The sequence below is a fragment of the Homo sapiens genome, chromosome 6 (genome assembly GCF_000001405.40).
Source record: "Homo sapiens chromosome 6, GRCh38.p14 Primary Assembly".
Lineage (NCBI taxonomy): Eukaryota > Metazoa > Chordata > Mammalia > Primates > Hominidae > Homo > Homo sapiens.
In genome coordinates this window covers 110,768,593-110,785,206 of record NC_000006.12, presented here as the reverse complement: position 1 = coordinate 110,785,206, position 16,614 = coordinate 110,768,593, and the positions used below count along the sequence as shown (strand labels likewise).

The following is a 16,614-nucleotide window of genomic DNA, read 5'->3' as shown; positions in this document are numbered from 1 at the left end:
GCTATCAAAAATTGTCAGAATGTACTTTTCTATAAACATTCTAGGATATTGACTGATTGATGAATTAGTGCATTTTCCATAAATGTTTGTTTAGGGCCCTCTAGCCAGGGGCTTTTTTTTTTTTTTTTTTTTGACAATTCAGTGGTTTTTAGCATATGCACAGGATTGTATAATTATCACCATTATCTAATTTTAGAACATTTCATCACCACAAACACTCTGTACACATTAGCAGTCACTCCTCATTTCCCTGGTATCCTCTAATCAACTTTTTGTGGCTTGTCTATGGATTTGTTTATTCTGGACATATGTAAAAATGAAATCATACTATATATGTTATTGTGTGTCTTGCTGCTTTTACTCAGCATAATCAAAGTTCACTCATATTGTAGCATGTATGGGTATATCATTCTTTCAGATGACTGTGTGGATATATCACGTTGTATTTATCCATTCATCAACTGATGAACATTTGATTGTTTCCACTTTTAGGCTATTATGATTAATGCTGGTATGAATATTTTTGTAGAAGTTTTTGTTGGGCCATATGTTTCAGTTCTCTTGGGTATATATCTAGGAGTGGAATTGCAGCATAATATGTTAGCTGTTGATGTTTAACCTTTGGAAGAACTACCAGCCTCTTTCCCAAAGCAACTGTACCATTTCACATTTCCACCTGAAATGTATGAGGGTTTCAGTTCTCTACATCCTTGTCAGCATATGGTATTGTCTATCTTTCTGATTTTAGTCATCCTTGTGGGTGTGAAGTGGTAGCTCACTGTGGTTTTGATTTGCAGTTCCCTAATAACTTATGATGTTGAGCATTTTTTCATGTGCTTAGTGACCATTGCATATATTCTTTGGAGAAATACCTATTCAAATTCTTTGCTCATTTTAAAATTGGGTTGTATTTTTATTGTTGTAAGAGTTCTTTTTATATTCTTAACATTGTGCTCTTATGTGATGTATAATTTGCAAATATTTCTTGTTTTTTTTGAGTTGCCTTTTCACTTTCTTTTTCTCCTTTCCTTTTTTTTTTTTTTTTTTTGAGACGAAGTCTTGCTCTGTCACTCAAGCTGGAATGCAGTGGTGTGATCTTGGTTCGCTGCAGCCTCTGCCTCCCCAGCTCAAGCAATTCTCTTGCCTCAGCCTCCCGAGTAGCTGATATTACAAGTGTGCACCATCATGCCGGCTAATTTTTGTATTTTTAGTAGAGATGGGGTTTCACCATGTTGGCCAGGCTGGTCTCGAACTCCTGACCTCAGGTGATCCACCTGCTTCGGCCTCCCAAAATGCTGGGATAACAGGCGTGAGCCACCGTGCCCAGCCTGCCTTTTCAATTTCTTGATGATTCACTTCTTTGATTTTGTGATTCACTTTGAATCACAAAAGTTTTTAATTTTGATGAAGTCCAATCCATCTCTTTTTTTTCTTTTGTTGCTTGTGCTAAGAAACCACTGCTTGATCCAAGGTTGCAAAGATTTACTCCTTTGTTTTCTTCTTAGAGTTTTGTGGTTTAAGCTCTTATATTTAGATCTGGAAGTGCTTTTTTTTTTCTTTTTTTTTTTTGAGACAGAATCTCACTCTGTCACCCAGGCTGGAGAGCAATGGTGTGATCTCGGCTCACGGAAACCTCCACCTCCTGGGTTCATGCGATTCTCCTGCCTCAGCCTTTGGAGAAGCTGGGATTACAAGTGTGTGCCACCACGCTCAGCTAACTTTTGTATTTTTAGTAGAGATGGAGTTTCATCATGTTGGCCAGGCTGGTCTCGAACTCCTGACCTCTAGTGATCTGCCTGCCTTGGCTTCCCAAAGTGCTGAAATTACAGGTGTGAGCCACAGCACCCAGCTCAGATATTCTTAGTGTTTTCAAATTTAACTTTGTTGTGCTTTTACTTGATGTGGAAATTTGCAACACTTGAAGTAAAGCTATTACACTCCGAAAAGTTGTGCAGCAAATTTAATGATGGTCCTTGCCCTATATTTGTCTGCTGTTCCTGCCCCTACCCAAAGTTAGTACTCTGCATTGTGCTGCCTCCTCCCATGTCATCTCTCAGGCTATGGATGCAAAGTGTCATTTTATTTTATCCTTTTAAAAACATCAGTTACCCTGACCAGAAGGAAAGAATTTAGTATGTTGGTATAATGGTGGGACTGTAGGCCGCAGACTGTAGGAATAGTGTGCTGCAGGTGAGCAAGTGAAACTTCATTCTTAGATTAATAATTTATGATAGCTATTAGTGGGAGATAGATTGCTTATATGGAACAGACTCAAGATTATTGTTTAGTCTATGCAGAGGAAGCAAAATGTATAAAATTGTGGAGGAAAGAACAACAGCAAGTCATTCAGGATGTCTAGAGCAAATACTCAGGATGGAGGTTGGAGATGCGTTTGAGAGAGAGGGAGAGCATGATAATGTGTGCCAGGCTATAGAATTTGGTGTTTAACCTGATGGAGAAAGGGAGTAATAGATTCCAAGTGGAATAAATTATTTTAGTTCCCAAAATGGAAATAGTGATTTTTTTTTCTGATTGTAAAGGGAATACATGTTTGTCATAACATGCAAACAAGTAATAAAAAAATAGGCAGTGAAAAGTCCCTGTAATCCCATTCACTAGAGATAACCACTGCTTAACAGTTTGCTGTATAGTTTTACAGAGGAGAATTTTGTGATCAGTTTTGCAGCAGTGTGGTTGGTGGAAAGGACAAAAGTTGGATGACATTGGAAGTAGATGGCTGTTAGGTCCAAATAGGAATGACGAGGACCTGTTTCTTAGTGGTAGCTGTGGGGGTAGAAAAGGTGCAGAACTGGGGAAAAGTTCAAGGGATTTATTTAGGAGCTAGGATTCAGTGATCAGTTTGGCAACTGAGTGAAGGACTGATAAGTGGCCAGGATGAGAGTTGATTGGATTTCCCAGAACCTGGGACCAAACTGTGACATCATTTGAGCAGGCATAAAAGGGACAAATAGCAGTTGTTGCTAGCAGCATAATTTCAGAGTGGAAAGTCTGTCCTTTTGTTCTTATTTTCCTCCTGTGTTTCTGGGTTTATTTAGAAGGGGAGGGTACAAGTAAGAATTCAATTTTGTTTGGACAGATAAAAGCTATTATATCATGCCCTTATCTCTAATTGTTTCTTTTATTAGTTGAGTATAGCAGATTTCTTTGAGAAGTTGCTTCTGTTTTGGTGTGTAATTATAGCATGAGCTTTTAAACTTCACAAAGTTTATCTTGGAATCTTTACAATTTTATTCTGGGGAATTGGGATTGCGGTGAGGGAGCCACTTTGGCAAGTTATTGACAGAGATTCTTTGACTCTAAAGTAAGAGCTGATTGTATCTCTGAATAGGTTTTTTTTTTTTTTTTCATTTGAGACAGGGTCTCACGTTGTCACCTAGGCAGTGACATGATCTTGGCTCACCGCAGCTTCCACCTCCTGAGCTCAAGCAATCCTCCCACCTCAGCCTCCTGAGTAGGTGGGACTACCAGGATGTGGCAACACGCCTGGCTAATTTTTGTATTTTTTTGTAGAGATGGGGTTTCACAATGTTGCCCAGACTCGTCTTGAACTCCTGAGCTCATGCCATCTGCCTGTGTTGGCCTCCCAAAGTGCTAGGATTAGAGGTGTGAGCCACTGCACCCAGCCCGAATCGGGTCTTGCTTTCACCAAGTTCTGCTATGTTTCTTATTCCTGGGAACAGGCAACTGTCTGATATAGTTTGGATATTTGTCCCCTCCAAATCTCAGGTTGGAAATTGATCTCCGGTGTTGGAAGTGGGGCTAACTGGGAAGTGTTTGGGTCATGGGGGCAGATCCCTTATGACTGGCTTGGTGCTGTCCTAGGTAATGAGTGAATTCTTGCTCTATCGGTTCCCAGGGAGATCTGGTTGTTCAAAAAGAATCTGGGATATCCCTCCTCTCTTTCTTGCTCCTTCTGTTGCCATGTGACACACTGGCTCCCCTTCCCCTTGTGCCGTGATTGAAAGCTTCCTGAGGCCCTCATCGGAAGCAGATGCTGGTGCCATGTTTCTTATATGGCCTGCAGAACCATGAGCCAAATAAAATTCTTTTCTTTATAAATTAGCCAGTTTGAGGTATTCCTTTATAGCAACGCAAAATGGACTAATACACTAATATCTCACACATTTTCTGTCCTTACAACTTTTTGGATGGTTAATCAAGATAATGTGCATAAAGAACTACATAATGCTATGTAGTAGGCACTAAAAGACACTGGCTTCTTCTATCTTACCTAAGAACAAACTTGAGATTATAAAAAAATGAAAAGTTAAAATCTCTTTCTTGCAAGTTTCATTTTTCCTTTAAAAAATTTTAAAAGTATATCTAAATGCCACCTCCTGTCTGCTTTCTCATCTCTGGAAGATGGGAAATCTTCCAGAGATGAGAAATGTCCATGATACTCCTCCTTTGCACTCATAGTACCTTGGAACATTCTTCTTTCAAGCAGCTCATCATTCAGTATTTTAATTGTGCAGTACAATGCCTGGCACATAATTGATCCTCAATAAATATTTGTTGTAGAGATGTCTTGAAATGAGATAAAATGTTCTCCATTGCCTTCTCTTGAACAGCTGAACAACCGTACTGAAAAAAATAGGTTTGTTTATCCACTCAGAAGCTTGGTTTGTTTTGGAAGAAAAATGGTATTTTGTTAGGAAGTTTAAGTATTACCGTCTTAAAATAAATTTAAATAAAAAAAAATAAATTCTGATGTCTTCTGATATATACCTTGATAGAAGATTTTGTGTTGTGATTTGAAATGAAGGCAACAGTGTGACTTTTTTTTTTTTTTTTTTTGAGACAGAGTGTCACTCTGTCATCAGGCTGGAGTGCAGTGGTGCGATCTTGGCTCACTGCAACCTCTGCCTCCCAGGTTCAAGTGATTCTTCTGCCTCAGTCTCCCGAGCAGCTAGGATTACAGGTGCATGCCACCACGCCCGGCTAATTTTTGTATTTTTTTTTTTTTTTGAGATGGAGTCTCACTCCGTCGCCCAGGCTGGAGTGCAGTGGCGCCATCTCTGTTCACTGCAACCTCCATCTCCTGGGTTCAAGTGATTCTCCAGTCTCAGCTTCCCGAGTAGCTGGGATTACAGACATGTGCCACCACACCCAGCTAATTTTTATATTTTTAGTAGAGACGGGGTTTTGCCATGTTGGCCAGGATGGTCTCAATCTCTTGACCTTGTGATCTGCCTGCCTCGGCCTCCTGAAGTGCTGGGATTACAGGTGTGAGCCATTGCGCCTGGCCTAACTTTTGTATTTTTGTAGAGACAGGGTTTCACCATGTTGGCCAGGCTGGTCTCAAACTCCTGACCTCAAGTAATCTGCCCACCTCAGCCTCTCAAAGTGCTGGGATTACAGGTGTGAGCCACAGCGCCCAGCCTCCTTTAAGTGCTTGAGAATATGAGATTTTAAAAAATTTATTTATTTATTGTAGAGATGGGGTCTTACTGTTTTGCCCAGGCTGGCCTCAAACTCCTGAGTTCAAGTGATCCTCTTGCCTCAGCCTTCCAAAGTGCTGGGATTACAGGCGTGAGGCACCGTGCCCAGCCAAGGTCTTTGAAGTACTTAAGAATGACTGTTTCTCTGAACTTCATTTATTCATCTAACATTTATTGAGTTCTTCTTTATGCCCTAGTCTAGACCTTGTGCTAAGGGCTATGGAAAGTCAAAGAGTTACAAATCGTTTCCTATCCTCAAGACCTTTCACTTTGATGACAGAGGAAGACCAAAACATCTCCACATTACATTATAGTTTCATAGGTAAGGTAAGCACAAAGGAACATTGTCCATTCATATTTGGTACACGAGTTTGTTGTTTATGCCTGTGTATAGGGTGAGTGCAGCAGGAAAGCTTTTTGGAGGAGCTGAGACTTGAAGGATACATGGAGAAAGACTGGGGAAAGGCATTTATTCCCAGCAAAGTGTATATACCTGTGCAAAGGCAGGGTGGTATTAGAAGTCTATAATTGGTTCTTTATGGCTGGAGGTAAGGCTGCAGATACAAGCAGAGGTCAAAGGAATCATGAAAGATAAGGAATCATGTGCCAAGATAAGGAATTTAACGATTCTGATTTGTATTTTAGAAAGATCACTGATACAGCAGTGTAAAGGTGGGTATATTAGATTTAGGTTCACCTACAGTACAAAACAGGTGGTCTCAACAAAATAGAGGTATATTTCTCACACTGAAGTCCAGTTTTGGCATGATGACTGTAGGATCATCAAAGACCTGAGTTCCTTCTGTCTGCTTGACTGTCCCTTGGCACAGCTTCCATTACCCTTATTGTCCAGAATGACTGCTGGAGTGCCATCCACCATATTTGAACTACAGACACACTTCTAGCTAAGTTCCCTTTAAGTAGCTATCTTGGAAGTGTCTCATCCAGTGACTTCCACTTCTAGCTAATTGACCAGTCGTAGCAGCGAGGAAGGCTGGGAAATGTACACTTCACCTGGATACATGCCACCCAGAATAAAACCATGGTCTGTTCCTAAGGAAGAAAGGGAGAATGGGTGTATGCTAGGCAGCCAGTAGTGTTGCCACAAAGAGGATGGATAATGGAGTTAGGGAGAACAATTTAGTACAATTTACCCAAGTAGTAATACGTGTGATTGCTTACACAAGACTGGTTTGGTTAATAATGCAAGAATTGAAACTCTGTACTAACTCTGAGTAAAAGCCATTCTGCTGGGAAACCTAGAGGACTCCAGTGGTTATTTTGATGACATAACTGTTTTAGTGGGGCAAAAATTGTACTTTAATTATTTTAACCTTTGAATTAAAAGACTTCCAATTAAACTTTTAGTAAAATTAAATCAGTACTAAAGAGAATTAATGTTTTTAAGAAAGACATTGATAGGAATTCCTTTTTTAAAAAAGTGTGTAGTATGATTTTTAAAAACTATATGACAATATACATTAAACGGGTTTACAGTGGTTTTTTGGGAGATGAAATAATTTTATTTTTCTTTTTTGCAATTCCTTTTTTAGATTTTCTATACTTAGCACATGTTACTTTTTTAAAAATTGTGATAAACATAACAAGAAATTTACCATCTTAACTATTTTTAGGTATACAGTTCAGTGGGATTGAGTACATTCATATTGTTGTGCTACCATCACCACCATCCATCCACAGACCTCTTTCATCTTACAAATCTGAAACTCTGGACCTATTAAAGAATAAGTGCCCATTCTCCCCTTCCCCCAGCACATGGCAACCACATTCTGCTTTCTGTCTCTATGAATTTGACTACTGTACCTACCTGATGTACATGGGATCTATAGTGTTTGTCCTTTTGTGAGGGCTTATATGACATAGCATAATGCCTTCAAGCTTGTTGTAGCATGTGTCAGAATTTCCCTCCTTTTTATGGCTAATATTCTGTTACATGTATATGCTACCAATTGTTTGTCCACTCATCCGTTAAGGGAAGCTTGGATTGCTCCCACATTTTGACTACTGTGAATAATGGTGCTACAAACATGGGTATAGAAGTATCTCCTTGAGTCCCTGCTTTTCGTTCTTTTGACTCCATACCCAGAAGTGGAACTGCTGGATCATATGGTAATTCTCTGTTTAATTTTTTTGATGAACCACTATACTATTTTCCATAGCAACTGCACCATTTTATGCTCCTGCCAACAGTACACAAGGATTCCAGTTTTTCTACGTCCTCACCAACCCTTCTTATTTTATTTTATTTTTTAGTTTTTCCTTTTTTAGTTTTTTGATAGTAACCATCATAAGGTATGAGGTCGTATCTTATTGTATTGAGATTTTAAAGTTTACAAAATGTTTGAGTGAGTTATGTAACCAAATGACAGCAAGTTTAAAAAACTGAAATACTTAGTCTTGCTACTCTTACACCAATATTATTTGTTATTCGGATATATTGATTTTAAATTTTAAGGCCTTTTGTTTTGAAAAAGTTCTAATTCTTTTAGTTTCATATCACATTTCTCATTTTGTTACATATTTTATACAACATCATTTTAATTGGAATTTTCTGAGAAAATGTTGCATATGCTGAGGAATATATAGCATGATTGAATACTTGAGAACACATATAATTGTTTGGCTTCTGACATATAGATAGATGCCGGTTTGTATGATTTTAATTTCATAGGCTGGATGATGTGGTGACGAAGAACATGTTTCTGGGAGTGGTCTGGGTTTAACTTGCCACTTCTGGCTGCTTGCTTTTGGGCAAGTTTCTTAAATTCCCTGTGTCTCATTTCTTCATCTTTAAAGTATAATAGTACCTATCTCAGAGTTGTGAAGACCGAATGAGTTAGTGCTTGTACAACTCTTAGAACTGTGCCTGGCACATCAAACATTCTATGTAAGGCTTTGCTGCTATTATTGTTTTAATGGATGGGAATTTATCTCTTTGGTTTTCAGGATTATATGTAATATTCAAGTAGTCACTGTGTTTCAACATAGTATGTCAAATGCACTTAACTTAGAATGTCACAAGCACTGCTTTAGAGGAGGGTGCAGTCTAGAAGGCTGTTTGGGAATTAAGAGAAGATACAGCTGAGGCTGGGCATATTGCTAAATTAGTAATTTGATATAATCATCTCTTGGGGACTGTGCTCTTCTGGCTGCCATTTAGCTTTCACAACTAACTATTCTAGGCTCTTTTGGCCAGCTCAAACTTTTGATTGCTTCTTCAGGCTTCCTTACACAGCTCCCCAGATTATTTGGCTGGGCAAAGAATATTTTTCTCTGGTTCTTTTTTTTTTTTTTGAGACAGAGTTTCAGTCTTGTTGCCCAGGCTGGAGTGCAGTGGCACGATCTCGGCTCACTGCAACCTCCACCTCCCAGGTTCAAGCGATTCTCCTGCCTCAGCCTCTCGAGCAGCTGGGATTACAGTTGCATGCCACTGCGCCCAGCTGATTTTTGTATTTTTAGTAGAGGCGGGTTTTTGCCATGTTGGCCAGGCTGCTCTTGAACTCCTGACCTCAGGTGATCCACCTGCCTCAGTCTCGCAAAATGCTGGGATTACAGGCATGAGCCACTGCGCCTGGCTATTTTCTCTGGTTCTTAGTTAACAGCTTTTGTTAAGTCGCTAATTTAAATAGAATGCACTGGCTTAAATTTTTGCATAAAATAGCACTCTGTGATTTATAACATTTTTAAAAACCTTGTTTCACTGATATTCAGTATAAATCTGAGAGATGGTGAAGGTGTCCTCATTGAACAACTCTGGTTATACTGAGGGATTAAGTGCCTGATGTCACAAAGCAATTAAATGAGCTACCTTGGATTTGAACTCAAGTCACCTGGCTTCAGGGCCAATGTTTTAAAATACTGTTTTTTCCTTGACGTGTCATCAGATTTTAAGACAATACTTTGTTCCTTCTTTCCTAATTATTTGATGATACTTTTAAAGATTTCTAAATATTCCATGAAGATAATATGCCTCTCTCTTTTAAATTTAACAGCTGATAAAATTTATCTGATTCATTTTTCTCATACATCAGCTATGTTTTGTAGTCTTTTATCCCTATTACCAGAAAAGAATGAAATAAAATCTGAGATCTAAATATTTTACCTGATTAAATCCTTAATTTTTTACATGAATGTTTTCTGAAAAGCCTTTCATATTTCATGATTATTTTTATTTTGATATTGGAACAAGGTAGATTTCTCCCATACTGCCTAGCATATGTAGTACCTTGCTTATTTCAACATTACTGTCAGAATTAAATTAAATTTTGCCACTAGAATAGCTTTACAGTGCTACTTTCTCCTTTTTTCTTTTACGTTGTCCTCTTCTAGGTCTGTTTTTAATTGCTTTTCTCCAATATTCCCAATAATTTCTGGTTCTAAGAAGAGAATGTACCTTGAGCTGCAGGATTTGCCATTCTCTATTTTGTGAAGTATATTTTTCCACCTAATTTCTTTTATTTTTTCTTTTCTTTCTTTTTTTGAGATGGATTCTCACCCTGTTGCCAGGCTGGAGTGCAGTGGTGTGATCTTGGCTCACTGCAACCTCCGCCTCCAGGGTTCAAGCAATTTTCCTGCCTCAGCCTCCCGAGTAGCTGGGACTACAGGCGCATGCCACCACACCCAGCTAATTTTTGTATTTTAGTAGAGATGGGGTTTCACCATGTTGGCCAGGATGGTCTCGATCTCTTGACCTTGTGATCTGCCTGCCTCGGCCTCCCAAAGTGCTGGGATTACAGGTGTGAGCCACCGCACCCAGCCTATTTTGTATTTCTTTTGAAATAGGGTCTTGCTCTGTCGCCCAGGCTGGAGTGTAGTGGTGTGATCAGGACTCACTACAGCCCCAACCTCCTGGACTCAGGTGATCCTCCCACCTCAGCCTCCCAAGTAGCTGGGACTACAGGTGTGCACTGCCATGTCCAGCTAGTTTTTGTATTTTTAGTAGAGATGGGGTTCGCCCTGTTGTCCATGCTGGTCTTGAACTCCTGAGCACAAGCAATCCACCGGCCTTGGCTTCCCAAAGTGATGGGATTACAGGCATGACCCACTGTGCCCAGCCTTTAATTTGTTTTATATTCTTTATATAATTGTCCCTTTATCTGTGGTTTTGCTTTCTGCTGTTTTAGTTACTGACTTGTGGTCTGAAAATATTAAATGGAAAATTCCAGAAATAAAGATTTCGTGTTTCAAATTGTACCCATTTTGAGTAGTGTGATGAAATCTTGTGCTGTCCAGCGCTGTCCTCCTCTGTCCCTTTGGGGACATGAATCATCCCTTTGTCCAGTATATCTATGCTGTAGACACTACCTGTCACTTAGTAGCCATTTTAGTTATTAGATTAAAAAACAGTGTGTATAGGGTGTCTGGTACTATCCCAGATTTCAGGCAGCTACTGGGGGTCTTGGAACGTATTCCCCATGGATAAGGGGGGACTACTGCATATGTATTGGCTCTCACATAATTTAAAAAGTTGAATTGTTACTTTCAGTGTATATAAATTCATACTTTATTGCTGCATTAGTTTTTCCAATAGTATAAATTGGTTCTTTTCGTAAGAATATAATTAGTTAAGGCTCAACTTTTGGTCTTTTCATACAATAAGCTGCATTATATATAATTAATTGTGAATGTTACCTATATATTGTTGATATGCTCATTGTCAAATCTAAAATCTGAGTTCCTTGGCAGATATGTAGACTTGTGATAGGCATTTGGCATTTTATGTTTTGGGCAGTGTAACTTTAAATCTACATAAACTTCTCTGCCTTTTGCCTCTGCTGTGTTCATAGATTCCAGGAGGGCTTCGTGTATGGACCTCAAGCGTTGGAGGTAGCAGACTTTTCAGCAGAAGGTAAAGCAGAGTATTGCCTTCTGGTGTCATTGTGTGTGTGTGCTGGGGTGGGTATGTGACAGGTGAGAGCTTTTCACAAGTGTAATCACTAAGTAATTTATAATGATGCATTAAATGATTCACTTTCATAAAATTTAAAACCAAGATAATACCCGTACAATTGTATTCAGTATTACTAAAATTCATTAAAAAAAGTAACATTTAGATAGAACTAAAGACTCTAAATTTCACTTCTTTGCCATTAAGAAATAGTAGGAGTGAGTAGGAAAACAGCATTAGTATAATGTATGCTATATACCATGTAATTTTCTCAGACCTAGCTTTACTCTGATTTCTTCGTGGGAACTTGTCCAAGTCATAATTCATATGCTGCTCCTTTTACTGAAAAATTGCTTCACAATAGAGGGGCAGCCTAATCCATGACTCATGACTGGAAGATAGGCATTCATGCTATAGGTCCCATTTGCCAGAAATGTTAGTTTCCAATATGCTAGTTACCTGTCTCTTGATAACTTGTTTTTTTTTTTTTTTTGAGACAGAGTCTTGCTCTGTTGCCAGGCTGGAGTGCAGTGGTGCGATCTTGGCTCACTGCAACCTCCACCTCCTGGGTTCAAGTGATTCTCCTGCCTCAGCCTCCCAAGTAGCTGGAACTACAGACACGCACCATCACGCCCAGCTAATTTTTGTATTTTTATTAGAGATGGGGTTTCACCATGTTGGCCAGGATGGTCTTGATCTCTTGACCTCGTGATCTGCCTGTAGTTAGTTCTCATCCCACACACTTGTAAAATATGTTTTTATAGAGACCTTTTTTTTTTTTTTTTAAGAGACGGGGTTTCCCCATGTTGCCCAGGCTGGCCTTGAGCCCCTGGGCTCAAGCGATCTGCCCGCCTTAGCCTCCCAAAGTGCTAAGATTATAGGCATTGGCCACCACGCCCTGCTATGGAGACCTTCTTAATGAGTCTCTCTTTTTTTTTTTTTTTTTGGGACAGGGACTCACTATTTCCCAGCCTTGAGTGCAGTGGTGCCATCACAACTCATTGTGGCTTTGACCTCCCAGGCCTAAGCAATCCTCCCACTTCAGCCTCCCAAGTAGCTGGGACCACAGGCTCACGCCACCACACCTGACTACTTTTTAAGTTATTTGTAGAGACAGGGTCTTGCTTTATTGCCCAGGCTGGTCTGGAACTTGTGGCCTCAAACAACCCTCCTGCCTTGGCAGTTTTGTTTTTTATTTTTAGAAAGAGATCTATAGCAGCTAACAATGTACTCTTAGACATAAAGTTAGTAATGTGACTAGTTTTTAGATAGATTCTGAATGGGAATCAGAGGAATGGTTTTCTTAGGGGCTTCTGGAAATTATAGTTGTTTAGATACCAAGTAAGTGTGATATGGTTTGGCTCTGTGTCCCCACCCATATCTCCTCGTCTTGAATTGTACTCCCATAATTCCCACGTGTTGTGGGAGGGACTCGGTGGGAGATAATTTGAATTAAGGGGGCGGTTTCCCCCCTACTGCTCTCATGGTAGTGAATAAGTCTCATGAGATCTGATGGTTTTATCAGGGGTTTCCGTTTTTGGATCCTTCTCATTTTCTCTTGCTGCCGCCATGTAAGAAGTGCCTTTTGCCTCCCGCTGTAATACTGAGGCCTCCCCAGCCGTGTGGAACTGTAAGTCCAATTAAACCTCTTTTTCTTCCCAATCTCAGGTATGTCTTTATTAACAGCATGAAAACGGACTAATATAGTAAGTTGGTATCAGTAGAGTGGGGCGCTGCTGAAAAGATACCTGAAAATGTGGAAGTGACTTTGGCAGAGGTTGGAACAGTTTGAAGGGCTCAGAAGAAGATAGGAAAATGTGGCAAAGTTTGGAACTTCCTAGAGACTTGTTGAGTGGCTTTGCCCAAAATGCTGATAGTGATAAGGACAAGGTCCAGGCTGAGGTGGTCTCAAATGGAGATGAGGAACTTGTTGGGAACTGGAGCAAAGGTGACTCTTGTTATGTTTTAGCAAAGAGACTGGTGGCATTTTGCCCCTGCTCTAGAGATTTGTGGAACTTTGAACTTGAGAAAGATGATTTAGGATATCTGGCGGAAGAAATTTCTAAGCAGCAAAGCATTCGAGAGGTGACTTGGATGTTGTTAAAGGCATTCAGTTTTACAAGGGAAGCAGAGCATAAGAGGTTGGAAAATTTGCAGCCTGACAATGTTATGGAAAAGAAAAACCCAGAAAATGGGAGCCAGCTGTAAAAATTAGCATAAGTAACGAGGAGCAGAATGTTAATTCCCAAGACAATGGGGAAAGTGTCTCCAGAGCATGTCAGAGATCTTCAAGGCAGCCTCTCCCATCACAGGCCTGGAGTCCTAGGAGAAAATGGTTTTGTGGGCTGGGCTAGGGGTCCCTGTGCTGTATGAAGTCTAGGGACTTGGTGCCCTGCATCCCAGTCACTCCAGCTGTGACTAAAAGTGGCCAAAGTGCAGTTCAGGCTGTTGCTTCAGAGGGTGGAAGCCCCAAGCCTTGGCAGGTTCCATGTGGTGTTGAGCCTGTGGGTGCACAGAAGTCAAGAACTGAGGTTTGGGAACCTCCATCTAGATTTCAGAAGATGTATGGAAATGCTGGATGCTGAGGCAAAAGTTTGCTGCAGGGGCGAGGCCCTCATGGAGAACCTCTGTTAGGGCAGTGCAGAAGGGAAATGTGGGGTTGGAGCCCCCACACAGAGCCCCTAGTGGGGCACAGGCTAGTGGAGCTGTGAGAAGACCTCCAGACCCCAAAATGGTAGATCCACTGACAGCTTGCACCATGCACCTGGAAAAGCTGCAGACACTCAACACCAGCCCGTGAAAGTAGCCAGGAGGGGGGCTATACCCTGCAAAGCCACAGGGTTGGAGCTGCCCAAGACCATGGGAACCCACTTCTCACATCAGTGTGACCTGGATGTGAGACCTCGAGTCAAAGGAGATCATTTTGGAGCTTTAAAATTTGACTGCTCTGCTGGGTTTCGGATTTGCATGGGCCTGTAACCCGTTTGTTTTGGCCAGTTCCTCCCTTTGGAATGCCTGTATTTACCCAATTCCTGTACCCCATTGTATCTAGGAAGTGACTAGCTTGCTTTTGATTTTACAGGCTCATAGGTGGAAGGGACTTACCTTGTCTTGGATGAGACTTTGGACTGTGGACTTTTGGGTTAATGCTGAAATGAGTTAAGACTTTGAGGGACTCTTGGGAAGGCATGATTGGTTTTGAAATGTGAGGACATGAGATTTGGAGGGGTCAGGAGTGGAATGATATGGTTTGGCTCTGTGTCCCCACCCAAATCTCATCTTGAATTCTACAGCCATAATTCCCACATGTTGTGGGATGGAGCCAGTGGGAGACAATTTGAATCATGGGAGCAGTTTCCCCCATACTATTCTTGTGGTAGTGAATAAGTCTCATGAGATCTGACGGTTTTATCAGGGGTTTCTGCTTTTGCATCCTTCTCATTTTCTCTTGCTGCCACCATGTAAGAAGTGCCTTTCGCCTCCTGCTATGATTCTGAGGCCTCCCCAGCCATGTGGAACTGTAAGTCCAATTAAACCTCTTTTTCTTCCCAATCTCGGGTATGTCTTTATCAGCAGCATGAAAACGGACTAATACAAAGTAGCTGCATATTATATCATATATTTAGGATATACACCTTATGTGAAGTTGGATAGTATGTATTTATGAAATCTCTACTGTGTGCCCAACACAGGAGCACACCATTTTACAATGAACCAAGTTTCACTATTCTTTCACTTCCTCCTATTCAGAGAAGCTATTTTTTTTAACTAGAAGAGATAGGTGAATTTCAGGCTATTTATTGGGGTAAGCTACAATTTTACTTCCCAAACCTTTTTGCCTTTATTTTACTTTTTTCAGTGGCTATTTTGAGGATATTTTCTCTTTACCAATAATAGGTTGGAAGCAATTTAAAGCCTTTCATACATTTGCAGGCTAGTTGGCCATTTTCATCACTGTTGAATTATGCATTCTTATATTTGTTTAGCTAATCTGACTGTGGTGTATTTTGCTACCAGTTGAGAATCTCAATAGAGTATCTGTATCAAGACATAGGAATACTCCTCACCCAGCTCCCAACTCCAACTCAGTTTCTATGAGAAAGATGAGATTAAATGGATGGTTATGAAAATATTAAAAAAATTAATTGACTATTTTCTTGAGCAGTTTTAGGTTTACAGAAAACCTGGAGTAGAAAGTAGAGTTCCCATATACCACCCCCTGCTCCCCAGTTTTCCCTATTATTATTATTATTATTATTTTTTTTTTTTTTTGAGATGGAATCTTGCTCTCTCACCCAGGCTAGAGTGCAGTGGTGCCATCTCAGCTCATTGCAACCTCCAGCTCCCGGGTTCAAGCGATTCTCCTGCCTCAGCCTCCCTAGTAGCTGGGATTACAGGCATGTACCACTATGCCCGGCTAATTTTTGTATTTTTAGTAGAGACAGGGTTTCACCATGGTGGCCAGGCTGGTCTCGAACTCCGGACCTCAGATGATCCACCTGCCTCAGCCTCCCAAAGTGCTGAGATTACAGGTGTGAGCCACGGTGCCTGGCCAATTTTCCCTATTATTAACATCTTGCTTTACTGAGACACATTTGTTAAAATCAATAATTCAGTATCGTTGCATTATTGTTAACTAAAGTTCATAGTTTACATTAGGGTTTTTTTTTTTTTTTTTTTTTTTGAGACAGAGTCTCTCTGTCACCCAGTCTGGAATGCAGTGGTACAATCTTGGCTTACTGCAACCTCTGCCTCCAGGGTTCAAGCAATTCTCCTGCCTCAGCCTCCCGAGTAGCTGAGACTACAGGCACGTGCCACCATGCCAGGCTAATTTTTCTGTATTTTTAGTAGAGATGGGGTTTCGTCATGTTGGCCAGGCTGGTCTCAAACTCCTGACCTCAGGTGATCCACCTGCCTTGGACCCCCAAAGTGCTAGGATTACAGGCTTGAGCCACCATGCCTGGCCTTCATTTGGGTTTGCTCTCTACACATTAGGTATATTCTATGGGTTTTGATAAATGTGTAATGATATGTATTTAACCATTACAGTATCATACAGAGTAGCTCACTGCCCTAAACATCACCTGTGCTACACCTTTTCATCCCTGGTTCCCTCCCTGCAAGCCCCTGACAACCACTGATCTTTTTCTGTCTCTACAGTTTTGCCTTTTCCAAAATGTCATAGAGTTGAGTATGTAGCTTTTTCAGGTTGGCTTCTTGCACTTTGTAATATGCATTTGAGAA

The 16,614-nt window shown here is 40.6% G+C and overlaps 1 protein-coding gene across 15 annotated transcripts in view, besides 1 other annotated feature; it reads left to right on the top strand.

The window, feature by feature from the left end:
* The window catches only part of CDK19 (cyclin dependent kinase 19), a 205,878-nt gene that overhangs the window by 30,649 nt on the left and 158,615 nt on the right, over window positions 1-16,614 (top strand). For 6 of the 15 annotated variants that reach the window (XM_011535630.3, XM_024446376.2, NM_001300963.2 and 3 more), the window contains exon 2: window positions 11,270-11,331. The exons of 6 other annotated variants lie outside the window; for them this stretch is intronic. Coding sequence is in view for 1 of the 9 variants with exons in the window: in XM_047418465.1 (XP_047274421.1) it covers window positions 7,590-7,592; window positions 11,270-11,331 (65 nt within the window). In the remaining 8 variants the exon portion in view is untranslated. Of the gene's footprint in view, window positions 1-133; window positions 7,593-11,269; window positions 11,332-16,614 lie in introns of those variants that run through there. 3 more of the 15 variants (XM_024446378.2, XM_047418468.1, XM_047418465.1) reach the window with 2 other exon arrangements.
* Window positions 785-874: a silencer, noted in NCBI's record as "silent region_17467". NCBI's record gives its function as "represses an Ori minimal core promoter by ATAC-STARR-seq in GM12878 lymphoblastoid cells {active_cell/tissue: GM12878}" and the evidence as "EXISTENCE:reporter gene assay evidence [ECO:0000049][PMID:35858748]".